This window comes from Homo sapiens, chromosome 3 (genome assembly GCF_000001405.40).
Source record: "Homo sapiens chromosome 3, GRCh38.p14 Primary Assembly".
In the NCBI taxonomy this organism is placed as follows: Eukaryota; Metazoa; Chordata; class Mammalia; order Primates; family Hominidae; genus Homo; species Homo sapiens.
The window spans coordinates 49308282-49324790 of NC_000003.12; the positions used below are offsets into that span (position 1 = coordinate 49308282).

At 46.7% G+C, this 16509-nt stretch overlaps 2 protein-coding genes across 4 annotated transcripts in view, besides 3 other annotated features; both read right to left on the reverse strand.

The window, feature by feature from the left end:
* Nucleotides 1-16509, reverse strand: part of USP4 (ubiquitin specific peptidase 4) — a 62910-nt gene that overhangs the window by 31138 nt on the left and 15263 nt on the right. The window contains exons 6-8 of one of the 3 annotated variants that reach the window (NM_003363.4): nt 16421-16482; nt 3233-3373; nt 2339-2456 (exon numbers count right to left, since the gene is read on the reverse strand). In NM_003363.4, the coding sequence (NP_003354.2) occupies nt 2339-2456; nt 3233-3373; nt 16421-16482 (321 nt within the window). Of the gene's footprint in view, nt 1-2338; nt 2457-3232; nt 3374-3503; nt 4333-16420; nt 16483-16509 lie in introns of those variants that run through there. The other 2 variants (NM_199443.3, NM_001251877.2) reach the window with 2 other exon arrangements.
* Nucleotides 6241-6290: an enhancer, noted in NCBI's record as "active region_19860". NCBI's record gives its function as "activates an Ori minimal core promoter by ATAC-STARR-seq in GM12878 lymphoblastoid cells {active_cell/tissue: GM12878}" and the evidence as "EXISTENCE:reporter gene assay evidence [ECO:0000049][PMID:35858748]".
* Nucleotides 8211-8712: an enhancer, noted in NCBI's record as "H3K4me1 hESC enhancer chr3:49353925-49354426 (GRCh37/hg19 assembly coordinates)". NCBI's record gives its function as "activates a minimal SCP1, AML or CMV promoter by ChIP-STARR-seq in primed H9 embryonic stem cells {active_cell/tissue: H9 hESC(primed)}" and the evidence as "EXISTENCE:reporter gene assay evidence [ECO:0000049][PMID:30033119]".
* On the reverse strand, nt 8371-10781 carry LOC124906236 (Sjoegren syndrome nuclear autoantigen 1 homolog). Its single transcript, XM_047449404.1, has 2 exons — nt 10028-10781; nt 8371-9197 (listed from the first exon to the last, which is right to left on the reverse strand). The coding sequence occupies exon 2, from the start codon at nt 9182-9184 to the stop codon at nt 8801-8803; it is 384 nt and encodes a 127-aa protein (XP_047305360.1). The 5' UTR covers nt 9185-9197; nt 10028-10781; the 3' UTR covers nt 8371-8800.
* Nucleotides 8713-9212: an enhancer, noted in NCBI's record as "H3K4me1 hESC enhancer chr3:49354427-49354926 (GRCh37/hg19 assembly coordinates)". NCBI's record gives its function as "activates a minimal SCP1, AML or CMV promoter by ChIP-STARR-seq in primed H9 embryonic stem cells {active_cell/tissue: H9 hESC(primed)}" and the evidence as "EXISTENCE:reporter gene assay evidence [ECO:0000049][PMID:30033119]".

Consider the following 16509-nt stretch of genomic DNA (forward strand, 5'->3'; position numbering starts at 1 on the left):
ATCAGTTCACCTAGGTAATGAGTCAATCATATTTATACTTTATTATATATTTTTTTGAGACAGAGTCTCACACTGTCACCCAGGCTGGAGTGTAGTGGCATGATCTTGGCTCATTGCAACCTCCGCCTCCCGGGATCAAGAGATTCTCCTGCCTCAGCCTCCCAAGTAGCTGGGATTACAGGCGCCCGCCACCATGCCCAGCTAATTTTTTGTATTTTTAGTGGAGACGGGGTTTCACTATGTTGGCCAAGCTGTTGTCAAACTCTTGACCTCATGATCCGCCCGCCTTGGCCTCCCAAAGTGCTGGGATTACAGGCGTGAGCCACCACACCCTGCCAGTCAATCATATTTATATAATGAAGCCCCAGTAAAAATTCTGGACGCTGAAGCTCACGTGAGCTTCCATAGTTTGCAGTACTCCATATGCATCATTACACATCAATGCCAGGAAATCACCATGTTCTGGCCAGGCACGGTGGCTCATGCCTGTAATCCCAGCACTTTGGGAGGCTGAGGTGGGTGGATCACCTGAGGCCGGGAGTTTGAGACCAGCCTGGTTAGCCAACATGGTGAAATCCTGTCTCTACTAAAAATACAAAAATTAGCCAGGCGTGGTGGTGTGTGCCTGTAATCCCAGCTACTCGGGAGGCTGAGGCATGAGAATTGCTTAAACCCAGGAGGTGGAGGTTGCAGTGCGTCAAGATTGCGCGACTGCACTCCAGCCTGGGCAACAGAGAAAGAGATGCTGTCTCAAAAAAAAAAAAAAAAAAAAGGAAAGTACCATGTACTGACTCCATAGGTAGAAAACAACAGAAGCTCTACATTTTGATCCTCCTGACCTCTGCCCTATATGCCTCTTCCCTTGGCTGATTTTAGTCTACATCCTCTCACTACAGTAAACCATCATCATGAGTATAATAACTTTAAGTAAATTCCGTGACTCCTTCTAAACAAATTACCAAAACTAAGGGTGGTCTTGGAAACCTGCAAACTTGCAGTTGGTTTCGGAAATGAGGGCAGTCTTGGGAACTGTGCCCTCCTAACTTTGAAGCTGGACTTTAACTCCTTGCAGCCCATGACTATTACAGTGCTGTCACATAATATATGCCCAATAAATATTTGATGAATTAATAAACAAGGTTTATTTTCTTTTCCATTTTGAGACAGGGTCTCGCTATGATGCTCAGGCTGGCTTCAAACTCCTGGCCTCAAGCAATACTACCCCCTCAGCCTCCCAGAGTTGTGATTACAGGTGTGAGCCATTGCGCCTGGCCAATAAGCAAGTTTCAAAGAGGGGATTTTGGATTTTCTCTAGTAAGGAGCATGGGGCGGGACAGCTTTTTTTTTTTTTTTTTTTTTTTTGAAACGGAGTTTCACTCTTGTTGCCCAGGCTGGAATACAATGGCGCAATCTCGGCTCACTGCAACCTCCGTCTCCTGGGTTCAAGCGATTCTCCTGCCTCAGCCTCCCAAGAAGCTTGGATTACAGGCGTGTGCCACCACACCCGGCTAATTTTTGTATTTTTAGTAGAGATGGGGTTTTGCCATGTTGGCTAGGCTGGTCTCGAACTCCTGACCTCAGGTTATCCACCCGCCTTAGCCTCCCAAAGTGCTGGGATTACAGGCGTGAGCCACAGTGCTGCCCCCGGACTTTTTTTTAATCTTTTTTTTTTTTTTTTTTTTTTTGAGACAGAGTCTCACTCTGTTGCCCAGGCTAGAGTGCAGTGGCGTAATCTCAGCTCACTGCAACCTCCGCCTCCCAGGTTCAAGTGATTCTCCTGCCTCAGCCTCCTGAGTAGCTGGGACTACAGATGCATGCCACCACACCCAGCTAATTTTTGTATCATTAGTAGAGATGGGGGTTTCACCACATTGGCCAGGTGATCCACCCGCCTCTGCCTCCCAAAGTGCTGGGATTACAGGCGTGAGCCACTGCGCCCGGCTGGGACAGCTATTTTTAGTGAAAAGGTAGTCAGCCTTCAGCAAAGCATAATTGAGCTTGGCATCACCTGCTGTAAGTTTTCCTCATCCCATCAGAGACCAATCAGGGATGCACTCCAATATTTTCTAGAGAGATCATACCTCAACAGTCAGTAAAATTCAAAATAATCTTACTATAAAACCAAACACAGAGCTGACTACAAAGACATCTGGGGTCCACAAACACTGATGAAGCCATTCTATACCACCTAGTGGGAGATGCCCTAGCAGAGACTACTGAAGCACCAACAAGGGGTAGGCAGGGACTCCTGGGAGAGGATCCACCCAGTACCTTTGCAGGCCACTTCCACCCAAACCTCAAGATGCTGTGTTATTTGAATGGAAGTTCTCTCCTCTACCTGCAAAGCGGAGTTCATGAAGCAGGTGTTTCCCAGGTTTCCAAGTCCACAGAGCCCAGGTTGTATATGAGAGGATGGTGGCTCCTGACAATTATACGAAGCAGAAAAGCCAGATCCACTGGAAAACACAACACACATCAGCAATAAAAGCAAGTGCATAACACATGCCCTCAAGATGCTTTTTGAGGCTCCTATGGGGGCCTCTAGAACTTGTGTGGTAGTAAGCCCATGATGCAAATTCCCTCTACTCCCTCCCCTGCCCTCCAGACCTGCCCCACCCTTTACTTGACACACTAGCAGCTGGTAAGCACATCCTTAAGGAAAGAAACACTACTTGAATTTTCCTCTGTTAGGCTTTGGCAAATGCTAATTTTGCCAGGTGACTTTAGGGAAGACCATTTTAGTTATTAAGAGCTTGCATCTGCTACTACCCACCAGGCCACACCCAGGCTTGACTGGCCCTGAAAGTTCATGCACACTTCCTCACCCCATTCACCCTCTTCCCCACATCTATGCCATGTGGCAGGTGTGCCTGAAATGCCTGGAGAAAGGATCACGGCCATCCACAGCTGAGCACTGTCCCTTCACAACTATTCTGCCATACGGGCCAGCCCATCCCTTCATAAACAAATGCAGTGACCCCCCCACCCTCCGAGACTACCTGTGATGTAGGCTGTGGGGAAAACACCAGCTCACAGGAGGACAAGCAACACAGATCAGAACTTGGAAGCACACTTTACTGTAGGTATGAAATGGAGTGAGAAACTACATGTAGCATGTTCCCATGAGGAACTCTAACCCCACTATGCTTAGTGGAGCAGCAGATGAGCTCTCAAGATACAGCCTGGGAAAGGACCACGGGAAAGGAAGCAGAGTGAAAGGACCTGCTCTTACCCCCTGCTGACACCGGAACTGTGCATCCCACAGGTGCTAGTGCTATCACCATTTGCAATGAGAGAGGCAGACACTGAGGAATAGGGACTTGCTGATGATTTTGGAGAGGTAGTAAAATTTCTGCTAGGCGCAGTGCTTGATCTGGGAGAGAGAAGCAGAAACAATGCTACTGACTTTTTGCAAAGAGCAAGCCCTATTTAATGCCTTAGGTTGCTTCTCAAGGAATAAATATTCTTCATATTAAGTTAAAATAAATTACAAAAAGCCTGTATTCATACTACTTCAAGGTAAACTTTATTTAAGTGAGAGTCCACAAATTAACTGGTCTTCCTGTCACATCAGTCCACACCACCACATACCCTTTCAGTGTGAAAAACCACAAGGCTGACCAGGCGCAGTGGCTCGTGCCTGTAATCCTAGTACTTTGGGAGGCTGAGGCAGGCAGATTGCCTGAGCTCAGGAGTTCGAGACCAGCCTGGGCAACACAGTGAAACCCTGTCTCTACTAAAATGCAAAAGAAATTAGCCAGGTCGCGCGTGGTGGCTCATGCCTGTAATCTCAGCACTTTGGGAGGCCGAGGCAGACGGATCACCTGAGGTCAGGAGTTTGAGACCAGCCTGACCAACATGGAGAAACCCCGTCACTACTAAAAATACAAAATTAGGCTGGGTGAGGTGGCTCACCCTTGTAATCCCAGCACTTTGGGAGGCCGAGGCTGGCGGATCATGAGGTCACGATCACAAGGTCAGGAATTCAAGACCAGCCTGGCCATGAGGTCAGGAGTTCAAGACACAGTGAAACCACATCTCTACTAAAAATACAAAAATTATCTGGACATGGTGGCGGGCGCCTGTCATCCCAGCCACTCGGGAGGCTGGGGCAGAAGCATCACTTGAACCCGGGAGTAAGCCGAGACTGCACCACCGCACTCCAGCTTGGTGACAGAGTGAGACTCCATCTCAAAAAAAAAAAAATTAGCCAGATGTGATGGCGCTACTCGGGAAGCTGAGGCAGGAGAATTGCTTGAACCCGGGAGGCAGAAGTTGCAGTGAGCCAAGATCGCGCCATTGCACTCCAGCCTGGGCAAAAAGAACGAAACTCTGTCTCAAAAAAAAAGAAAATAAAGAAATTAGCCAGGCATGGCAGCATGTGCCTGTAGTCCCAGCTACTGGGGAGGCTGAGGGGCAGGAGAATTGCGTGAAACCGGGAGGCGGAGGTTGCAGTGAGCCGAGATCGTGCCACTGCACTCCAGCCTAGGTGACAGAGTGAGACTCTGTCTCTTAAAAAAAAACAACAAAAAAAACCCCACAAGGTTCATCTTCAAGCATCCTGGTTTGATTTACAAATCATAAACTTCCCTACATTTTTTTTCTTTTTTTTTTTCTTTTTTTTTTTTGAGACGGAGTCTCATTCTCTCGCCAGGCTGGAGTGCAGTGGCACAATCTTGGCTCACTGCAACCTCCGCCTCCCGGGTTCAAACAATTCTCCTGCCTCAGCCTCCCGAGTAGCTGGGACTACAGGCGCGTGCCACCACACCCAGCTAATTTTTTTGTATTTTTAGTAGAGACAGGGTTTCACCATGTTGGCCAGAATGGTCTCAAGCTCTTGACCTTGTGATCTGCCTGCCTTGGCCTCCCAAAGTGCTGGGATTATAGGTGTGAACCACCACATCTGGACTGCTTCCCTGAATTTTAAAAATTATTAGTGAAAGGCAAAGAAAAATGGCAATAAGGCCAGGCGAGGTAGCTCACGCCTATAATCCCACCTCTTTGGGAGGCTGAGGTGGGTGGATCACTTGAGGTCAGGAGTTCGAGTCTAGCCTTACCAACGTGGTGGAACCCCGTCTCTACTAAAAATAAAAAAAATTAGCCAGGCCTAGTGGCGCATGCCTGTAATCCCAGCTACTTGGGAGGCTGAGGCAGGAGAACTGCTTGAACCCAGGAGGCGGAGGTTGTAGTGGGCCGAGATCGTGCCATTGCATTCCAGCCTGGGCAACAAGAACAAAACTCCATCTCAAAAAAAAAAAGAAAAATGGCAATAAGAGATGACTTTCCCCAAAAAGGCTGGATGCAAATTAAATAGCTGGATATAAGGACATGAGAACAGAAAAATGGCAATTTGGTTTCACTACGCCTTCTATGGAGAATTTTGTTTCTTCAAATTTGCCAGTGTAACCTCTCTGTTTCAAACTCATGTTTTAATATTTTTCAGGCTCTTATTTTAGATTTCTACTTTCAAATTAATTCAAGGGCTAATTGCCCAAATTTTAAATTGCTATCAATTTCATCAATCTGCTAGAATCTATATAAGGACATAAGGAAGAAAGTAAATCTTATTTTAAAGTTTTTAATTTTTACCTTTTTTTTTTGGTAATCCATAGCAACAGTCTCCTTATGTTGCCCAGGCTGGTCTCAAACTCCTGGACTCAAGCAACCCTCCTGCCTCAGCCTCCCAAAGGGCTGGGATTACATACATGAGCCACTGCGCTCAGCCAAAGAAGAAAGTGAATCCTCCTCCATTGTTTCAAATATAAAACTGGTATTTCCCTTATAGAATACTGGGTTATTTTTAGAATACAGAAAATGACTAAGAAGATGTACTGTTCCCACACAGTGTTCACCCTCATGGGATCTGATCTCAACTTGGCTTCCCTGTGAGAAGAAAAACATGGCAGCAAAAACAAGTATGATCTTGTATACCAGCAATGGGCACATCAAGAAATTATATAGGGCCTAAGCAGGTACCTGAACTGAGGTTTGCTCCACAATGCAGTCACAGTAAGGGAGAATGAGGGCTCCTCAGTCTCTCACCTTCCCATAAGGAAATGTACCCTTCTCTAATCCTAAAGAGGATTTGGTTCACACAGCTTCATCCTCATGCTGCAAAGGAGTCCAAGAACTCAAGCAGCTGCACTAAGTGAGATTCACCACAGCCAAGGGTACTCTCATTCACCACATGGGAGACTTAAGCATGCATGTGTTCAATCCTGTCCAGTGAGATGTCCAATGTGATTTCCTAGCCTCTTATGCATAAAGAAAGTCTGCTGCCCAAGGCTGGTCTGATATGCAATGGCAGACTCAGTCATCTCAGCACTGAGGGAGGTAAGACAGAATACTGAAATTCAAATTCTGATGCACAGAACCTCAAGATATATAGTATGGCACTCCTCTTCTCAGTAACTATTCATTGATAACTTATCTATTTTCTTGAGCTTAAAAGGGCAAAAATCGGCCGGGCCTGATGGCTCATGCCTGTAATCTTAGCACTTTGGGAGGCCAAGGTGGGAGGACTGCTTGAGGCCAAGAGTTCAAGATCAACCTGGTCAACATGGCAAGACCCTGTCTCTATTTATTTATTTATTTTTAAAAAGGGCAAAAATCCATACAAATCATTTGAGATATCCAAGACCTGTCAATTTCTTAAACAGACAACATTTCAGGGTGATAGAAATTAAAGAAAAATTTTATTTGATGTTTAAAATGTTCTAGAAAATACTGCCAGTTTTCATAGTAAATTCAATCAAAAAGAAACCAAATTAAGGGCATATAAGGATACTTTTTATATGCTTGAAAATTAACACAGTAAGATTTAAAAAAAAAAAAACTCTATCCTTAGGCTGGGTGCAGTGGCTCATGCTTACAATCCCAGCACTTTGGGAGGCTGAACTTCTCTTTACAGAACAGAAAAAGCCAGGCATAGCAGCACGTGCCTGCAGTCCTAGCTACTCGGGAGGCTAAGCCGAGAGGATCCCTTGATCCCAGGAGTTTGAGGTTGCAGTGAACTATGATCATGCCATTGCATTCCAGTCTGGGCAACAAAGCAAGACCCTATCTATTAAAAAATACTCTATCTTTGACAGACAAGTCAGAAGCAAAACTTCTCTTCAGAAAATTTACTATAATCTGGGAAATGCTGAGCACTAGGGCAGGGACTTGTCTCCAGACCTTCAGGCAACTGTGGAACAAACCCTGGGCATTACAGGCTGGAATATAGGAAGCCAGGAGAAATGTCTGAATCTCAGGCATATATATTAGGTAAGCAAGATCTCACTCTGATTTGTGACTGGGTCTCATGCCACACTCTGAAAACAGACACTATGCCTCCAAACAAGGATACCTCTGCTCCTAAGAGACACTGTAGTCAAGCCTCTGGACTCCCAGGCACCTTTCTACTGGTAAGTCCTGCTCCCCAGGCATGTCACGTGATTATCAATTACAACTCAAACGTGTGCCTGATACCATGGTGGGACCCTGTAACATCCCTGTGCCCAGGCCCAAAGTGAGGCTCTGGACAAACCAGGCAAAGCCCATCCCTGCCCTCCTTAATCTACTGCACTCCACTTGCTTCTCAGATGTTCTCCAGACTGAATGCTGCTCTGAGGATGAATCTATCCTATCCTTTAAGACTAGGCCAGGCGTGGTGGCTCACGCCTGTAATCCCAGCACTTTGGGAGGCTGAGGTGGGCGGATCACATGAGGTTGGGAGTCCGAGACCAGTCTGACCAACACAGAGGAACCCCATCTCTACTAAAAATACAAAATTAGCCAGGCATGGTGGCACATGCCTGTAATTCCATCTACTCAGAGGCTGAGGCAGGAGAATCACTTGAACCCGGGAGGTGGAGGTTGCAGTGAGCCGAGATCGCGCCATTGCACTCCAGACTGGGAAATGAGAGCGAGACTTCATCTAAAAAAAATAAAATAAAGACTGACCTCAAGTATCCAGCGTCTGGTACCTGGAATTATAATTAAGATAATGATAAACTCTTTTAATTTAACTTTATTTATTTATTTTGAGAGTGTCTCACTCTGTCACCCAGGCTGGAGTGCAGTGGTCCAATCTCAGCTCACTGCAGACTTCACCTCCCCAGTTCAAGCAATTCTCATGCCTCAGCCTCCCCAGTTCAAGCAATTCTCATGCCTCAGCCTCCCGAGTAGCTGGAATTACAGGTGCATGCCACTATGCCTGGCTATTTTTTTATTTTTAGTAGAGACAGGGTTTTACCATGTTGGCCAGGCTAGTCTCGAACTCCTGGCCTCAAGTGATCTGCCCGCCTCAGCCTCCCAAAGTGCTAGAATTATAGGCGTAAGCCACCAAGCCCGGTTAACTTATTTTTCATTCATTCATTCAATCATTTATTTATTTTTACAAAGATAATCTTTATTGACAGTCACAGGCCACAGGGGTGAGCCCTGAGGTTTGGGTTCTGGGATGAAGGAGAACCCCTGCCCCCTGCCCTGGGCCTCTGCTGGCTGAGGGGACCTCCATGGTGCTCAGACTACAACCAGGACCTCCCTGGCAGCCCAGGAGTGTGGGTGCCGCAGAGACAGGCCCCTTGCAGAGCTGACCTAGAGCCCACCCTCCCCATAGCCTGTGTGAGCACAAAGCCAGGACCCACAGGCTGTGCCCCGGGCTTGTCACTGATGCCAGTGGAGGTTGGCAGCTGCCCCTCTTAGCACCTGAGACAGTGAAAGAAGGCAGCTGCTGCCATGAAGAAGACGCTCTGTGGACAGACTTGCTGGGGCTGAGTTGAGGGGCGCACAGAGGCAGGCCCTGCCCATGGTCTGGTCAGCTGTCCCTGCCACCACTACTTTTCTGGTCTGAGGCTGTAGCCTTGGTCAGGTTCCCAGCTTCCCTCTTCAGGACACTGAGCAAAGTCTGGGAGCTCTCCAGCATCTTGAGGTAGGTGGCCTCCGTCTCCGCGATGGTCTGGTAGAACTTACTGCAAGAGGCAATCTTGCGTGCCAGGTTCTCGTTGACGCGGGCCAGCTTCTCGTTGACGCAGGCCAGCTTCTCTGTCAGCTGCCTCACCTCATTCTGCAGCCGCTGTTTCTTGTCCTCCTCCTGCTGGATCTGCCAGCACAGCTCCTCCTGCTTCTGGCATAGCTCCTCTATGCATTTGACCAGCTTGTTGTCGTAGTTCTGCAGCGCCATGCCCTGCTGGGTCAACATCTCCTGGGGCCCCCTATTTTTTTTTTTGAGATGGAGTTTCACTCTTTTTTTGTTTTGTTTTGTTTTTTGTTTGTTTGTTTTTTTTTTTTTTTTGAGACAACAGTCTTACTCTGTTGCCCAGCCTGGAGTGCAGTGGCGTGATATCGGCTCACTGCATGCTCCGCCTCCTGGGTTCACATCATTCTCCTGCCTCAGCCTCCCGAGTAGCTGGGACTACAGGCGCCTGCCACCATGCCCGTGGTGTTTTTTTTTTTTTTTAAGTATTTTTAGTAGAGACGGGGTTTCACTGTGTTAGCCAGGATGGTCTCAATCTCCTGACCTCGTGATCCGCCCGCCTCGGCCTCCCAAAGTGCTGGGATTACAGGCATGAGCCACTGCGCCCAGCCTGAGATGGAGTTTCACTCTTGTTGCCCAGGCTGGAAAGCAATGGTGAAGTCTCAGCTCACTGCAACCTCTGCCTCCTGGGTTTAAGCGAGTCTCTTGCCTCAGGCTCCCAGGTAGCTGGGATTACAGGCACACGCCACCACGCCTGGCTAATTTTTGCATTTTTAGTAGAGACAGGGTTTCACCATGTTGGCCAGACTGGTCTTGAACTCCTGACCTTAGGTGATCCGCCCGCCTTGGCCTCCCAAAGTGCTGGGATTATAGGCATGAGCCACCGTGCCTGACCTAATTTTATTTTTTTAAGAGACAGGGTCACATTATGTTGCCTAGGATGGTCTCAAACTCCTGGGCTCAAGCAATCTTCCCACATCAGCCTCTCAAACTGCTGGGATTACAGGCATGAGCCACCAGTGCCCAGCTACAATAAACTCTTAACAGTCAGAATACTTGCTGCCTTACCAAAAGTCAAGCTGTGACTCCACACCAACACTGTGAACACCATCTGTAGGCAAAGGTGGCTTTCTTAACTTCAGGGACACCAATCTCTTCTGGCTCTGGGCTGGCAACCTTAAAGGGCCTTATAGACCTCAGGCAAGTGACGTTAAAGGGAAAGAGAGAAACAGATGGAAAGAGACAAAGCCAGGTCTACACAAACCCTTGAGAAACTAATATTAAGTTAGCTGGAGCAATTCACATGGAAGAGAAAACTCTGAAAATGCCCAGAATTTACAAGGTGGTCCTCATTAGTGAAAAAAAGACAATTAAATATAAACAACCGGCCAGGTGTGGTGGCTCACGCCTGTAATCCCAGCACTCTGGGACGCCAAGGCGGGTGGATCACCTGAGGCCAGGAGTTCGAGACCAGCCTGGCCAACGTGGTGAAATCCCATCTCTACTAAAAATACAAAAAATTAGCCGGGCGTGGTGGCACGAACCCGTAATCCCAGCTGCTCAGGAGGCTGAGGCAGGAGAATCGCTTGAACCTGAGAGGCAGAGGTTGCAGTGAGCCGAGATCGTGCCACTGCACTCCAGCCTGGGTGACAGAGCAAGACTCTGCCTCAAAAAAAAAAAAAAAACAAACCACCATCACCACCACCAAGGAATCCATCCATGGAAACATTTACTATCCTCTGCCAAGAAATATATTAAATTGGAGGGAGGACTGTTGAGGGATAAATAAATAAATAGAAATACATTGGCCAGGCATGGTGGCTCACACCTGTAATTCCACCACCTTGGGAGGGATTGCGCCACTGCACTCCTGCTTGGGTGACAGAGCAAGACTGCATCTCAAAAAAAAAAAAAAAGAAATATATAAAACTGACTCTATTGGTAGGTTTTAAAAAAGTTATTAAGCCAACTAGTGACCTTCCTTCGATGACATATTCCCTTGATGTACGTTTTCTTGTTATTTTTTGAGACGGAGTCTTGCTCTGTTGCCCAGGCTGGAGTGCAGTGGCGCGATCTCGGCTGACCGCAACCTCCGCCTCCCGGGTTCAAGAGATTCTCCTGCCTCAGCCTCCCGAGTAGCTGGGACTACAGGAGCATGCCATCACACCCAGCTAATTTTTTTGTATTTTTAGTAGAGACGGGGTTTCACCATATTGGCCCAGGATGGTCTTGATCTCTTGACCTCGTGATGTGCCTGCCTCTGCCTCCCAAAGTGCTGGGATTACAGGCATAAGCCACTATTTCCATTCCCTCAATTTCAACTTCTCTGTGTCTTTGACACACAATGTATTACTAAACATGTTTGTTTGTTTGTTTGTTTGTTTGTTTTCTGAGATGGAGTCTTGCTCTGTCACGCAGGCTGGAGTGCAATGGTGCCATCTCAGCTCACTACAACCTCCACCTCCTGAGTTCAAGCAATTCTCCTGCCTCAGCCTCCCAAGTAGCTGGGATTACAGGTGCACGCCACCACTCCTGGCTAATTTTCTGTACTTTTAGTAGATAGGGGGGTCTCGCTATGTTCACCAGGCTGGTCTTGAACTCCTGACCTCAAGTGATCCACCCACCTCCGCCTCCCAAAGTGGGATTACAGGCCATGAGCCACTGTGCCCAGCCTTGTTTTGTTTTCTTGTGTTTTGAGACAAGCTCTTGCTCTGTCACCCAGGCTGCAGTGCAGTGCACAATTATAGCTCACTACAGCCTCAAACTCCTGTGCTCAAGGGATCCTCCCACCTCAGCCTCCCAAGAAGCTGGAACTGCAGGCACAAGCTACCATGCCCAGCTAATTTTTAAAAAAAATTTTGTAGAGACAGGAGTCTTGCTATGTTGACCAGGCTGGTCTCAAACTCCTATCCTCAAGCAATCCTCCCACCTCAGCTTTCCAAAATGTTGGGATTACAGGTATAAGCCACCATGCCTGACTCTTTTTTTCCAAGAGACAGGGTCTCCAGCCTGACCAACATGGAGAAACCCTGTCTCTACTAAAAATACAAAATTAGCCGGGCGTGGTGGCGCATGCCTGTAATCCCAGCTACTCGAGAGGCTGAGGCAGGAGAATTGCTTGAACCTGGGAGGCAGAGGTTGCAGTGAGCCAAGATCGCGCCATTACACTCCAACCTGGGCAACAAGAGTGAAACTCCATCTCAAACAAAAAAGAAAAAGAAAAAGAGACAGCATCTCACTCTGTCGTCCAGGCTGGAGTGCAATGATGCAATCGTGGCTCACGGTAACTTCGAACTCCTGGGCTCAAGCAAGCTTCCTCCCTCAGCCTTCTGAGTAGCTAGGACTATAGGCACATACCACTGTATCCCTGGTGTGGTTTGTCTTTTAAAGTCTGATCTGAGAGTTTGTCTTTAGTTTGGTAAATTTAACTCATCTACAGTGATTCTAATGCTGTTATTAGACTTCACTGAATTTAATTCAGCCTCCTTATTTCAGGTTTCTTTTTTTTCCCCCTTTTTCCACATGTTCTAACATGCTTTCTAATTACCATACTTCTTATTTTTTCCCCCCTTCATTTTTGCCTTCCATTAATTTTCCTTTTGCAGGTGTGGCAGTTTGCTAGTCGCCTCCTGCTAGCTATTTTCCCCTCCTTCCTTAGTTTGAGAACCCCAGTTTTTAGCTGGACATGATGCAGTCCTGCTATACAGTACATCCCAGCCTTCCTGAAAGCCAGGTATTGTCATATGATTAGCCAATGAGATACAAAGGAGGTTTGATGTATGATATCTGAGAAATGTCCTAAAAAGGAAGGGGTAGGTCAGCTGGGTTTAATATTGCCATGGAGCTGCTACGTCAGCAATGGATTGACTGCCTACGTCAGAAATTCTTTTCAGAAAGATGTAAGCCTCCATCTTGCTTAATACGCTAATTTGCAGATTTTTCTTACCTGCCAGCAAGCCTTTCCTAACTGACGTAGTATGTTTCAAAGTTATACATTCAATTTTCCGTTTCTGTTAGTTGTTCCATTAACTTATTAGGATCTCTATTTTTATTTTTCCCCATAAATTACATAAACTTACAATTGTTCACCTTTCTCATCCTCAAGAATAGTAGTTCTGGACATTCTCATCTCTCTCTGCTCTATACTAATTCCTCACCTATGTTGGAATTACCCAGAATTTATCTCTGGAATATTATAGATACTAGTTGCTTTCTTAAACCTTGATTATTATTGTACCTTTTTTTTTTTTTTCTCCTGAGACAGAGTCTCACTGTATCGCCCAAGCTGGAGTGCAGTGGCACGATCTAGGCTCACTGCAATCCCCACCACCATTCTCATGCCTCAGCCTCCCCAGTAGCTACGATTACAGGCATGTGCCACTGCACCGGGCTAATTTTCTTCTATTTTTTAAGAGATGGGGTTTCAGCATGTTGGCCAGCCACCGCACCTGGCCTATTATTGATTTTTTTTGGCCGGGCGCCGTGGCTTATGCCTGTAATCCCAGCATTTTGGGAGGCCGAGGCAGGCGGATCACTTGAGGCTAGAAGTTCGAGACCAGCCTGGCCAACATGGTGAAACCCCGTCTCTACTAAAAATACAAAAATTGGCTGTGCATGGGTGGCATGCACCTGTAATCCCAGCTACTCAGGAGGCTGAGGCACAGAATTGCTTGAACCCAGGAGGCAGAGGTTACAGTGAACCGAGATCATGCCACTGGACTCCAGCCTGGGCTACAGATCAAGACTCCGTCTATTAAAAAAACAAAAAAACAAAACCCCTGAGTGTATAAAATCAAGAAATTTGCACCAAGTGATACATCCATGTAACCACTACCCTGACCAAGAAACAGGACACCCCCAGACCCCTAGGTGTCCTTCTCACGATTCAGTCGCAATTCTTCCCAACACTAACCAGTTCTGACCATGAATCCCCAAGGTTAATTTTGCCTGTTATAAAGTTTTAAGTCAACAGAATCATTATGCCCTGCTCTGTGTCTACCTTCTCTCATTCATCATTTTTCATTAGACTCATCACTGTTGTGCAAAGCTGGACAGAATTTCCTTGTGTGCTTACACTTACTGCAGTTTATCCATTTACTTTTGATGGACATTTGGGTTAGCTCCAGTTTGTAACTATGACAAGCAGTGCTAGCACAAACATCCTGAAATATGTATTTAAGAGAACATGGGATATATTTCTATTGGTTATATGCCTAACAACAGGATTGTTGAGTAGCAGAATGTGCATATAATTCTACATTTTTGCCTCTTTTTTTTACTAGTGTTGCCTGACTTGTTTGTATTGACTAGTAGGAATTTCTTTGCAACTCTAGATATACGACCAGCTGTGGTGGCTCATGCCTGTAATCCAGCACTTTGGGAGGCTAAGGCAGGCAGATAACTACAGGCCAGGAGTTCAAGACCAGCCTGGCCAACATGGTAAAACCCTGTCTCTACTAAAAATACAAAAATTAGCTGGGCATGGTGGTGGGAGCTTGTAGTCCCAGCTGCTCGGGAGGCTGAGGCATCAGTCACTTGAACCCGGGAGTGGGGGTGCAGTGAGCTGAGATCGCACCATTGCACTCCAACCTTGGCAAGAGAGTAAGACTCCGTCACAGGGAAAAAAAAAAAAGAAAAAAAAATTCTGGACACAACTTGTCAGACATGGATTACAAATCTCTTCTCTCACTGTATGGCTTATGGCTTGTCTTCACTCACTGGTGAACAGACATTCTTTTTTTTTTGAGATGGAGTTTCGCTCTTGTTCCCCAGGCTAGAGTGCAATGGTGCAATCTCAGTTCCCTGCAACCTCCGCCTCCCGGGTTCAAGCGATTCTCCTGCCTCAGCCTCCCAAGTAGCTGAAATTACAGATATGCACCACCACGCCTGGCTAATTTTGCATTTTTAGTAGAGACAGGGTTTCTCCATGTTGGTCAGGCTGGTCTCAAACTCTCAACCTCAGGTGAGCCGCCCACCTCGGCCTCCCAAAGTGCTGGGATTACAGGCATGAGCCACTGCTCCTGGCCTTTTTAAAAAAAAAAAAAAAAAAAAAAAAAAAGAGATGGGGTCTTGCTGTCGCCCAGGCTGGAGGGCAATGGCAGAATCATAGCTCACTGCAGCCTCAAACTCCTGGACTCAAGCAATGCTCCCACCTCAGCCTGTCAGGTAGCTGGGACTACAGGCACTCACCATTGTGCTTAATCCCATCTGCAAAGTCCCTTTTGCCATGTCACCTGACATAATGACAGATTCTGAAACAGATTCTGGGAATTAGGATATGGATATCTCAGGGTGAAGATGAGCACAGCTATGCCTACCACAGCTATTTTATTTATCTTGTCAACAACTGGCAACCGGGGTTTCTTAAACTGGAGTCCATGACTGGACTTCAGGGGTTCTAACAGTTCTTCTCTTAAGAACTCATAGTTTTCATGGTTCTCAAATGACCTAGGAGCCCACTACTATGTAATGGTCACAGTCCAAGGCCTGACAGAGGGAAAAGGACAGAGCGCAACATTATTCCCATAACTACTGGAACACAGATATAATTTCCAAAACTTATACCATAACGAAAATTAATCACTTCTTTATCTCCCTAAGAACATGCACAGTTCCACATACCACATGAACATCTCTTGAAACAGATGTGTCCTTAGTCCAAGTTTTGTAGCTGAACAATTCACCCAGCAAGCTCCCAGGGCAACAATGAGTAACAGGCCACTGGGCAGAAACAGGTAGAATCAAGCTATCACTTTTTTTTTGTTTTTGTTTTTTTTGGGTCAGAGTCTTGCACTGTCACCTAGGCTGGAGTATAATGGTGCGATCTCAGCTCACTGCAGCCTTCACCTCCTGGATTCAAGCGACTCTTGAGCCTCAGCCTCCCGAGTAGCTGAGATTACAGGTACCTGCCACCATGCCTAGCTAATTTTTGTATTTTTAGTAGAGACAGGGTTTTACCATGTTGACCAGGCTGGGCTCGAACTCCTGGCCTCAGGTGAGCCACCTCCCACGGCCTCTCAAAGTGCTGAGCTTACAGGCATGAGCCACCATGCTCAGGCCTCAACTATCACTTTTAAGTCATATAAAACCCCATGCCTTAGCCTTCCTCTTATCCATCAAGGCCTCTAACTACATGTGGAGAAAATAAAAGCGTGACAAAAACAAAGCAACCTCCTGGTAGAGCAGCAACCTTAGACTTGATCCCTCATATCCCTTCCTCCTTTTCTCATTCTCCACGAGCAGAGGCTCGCCACCTTGCTGAGATATCCTGACAGGCTTCCCTTAGATGCTGCCCTGCTACCAAAAGCCACGGTCTTCATCCAGAAGCATGAACTCTGGATATACAAAATAGGCATTGTTCATCTGAATCAGAACAATTTTTCTTAGTACAAGTACTGCCTTAGGAAAGACTGTCTCTTTTGCACATGTGAGCCTACAACAAGGGAGAAAAAATTCACTTACTTTGACTGCAAGGTCTGCCTGGGCCATGTGCCATCTTCATTTTGAGGCTCAATTACTAGCACCTGAGTGAAAGGGGAAACCAAATGAGG

What these genes read in the sequence shown, in the direction of transcription:
- LOC124906236 (XM_047449404.1), bottom strand. Translation starts at nt 9,184, where the DNA reads ATGTTGACCCAGCAGGGCATGGCGCTGCAGAACTACGACAACAAGCTG.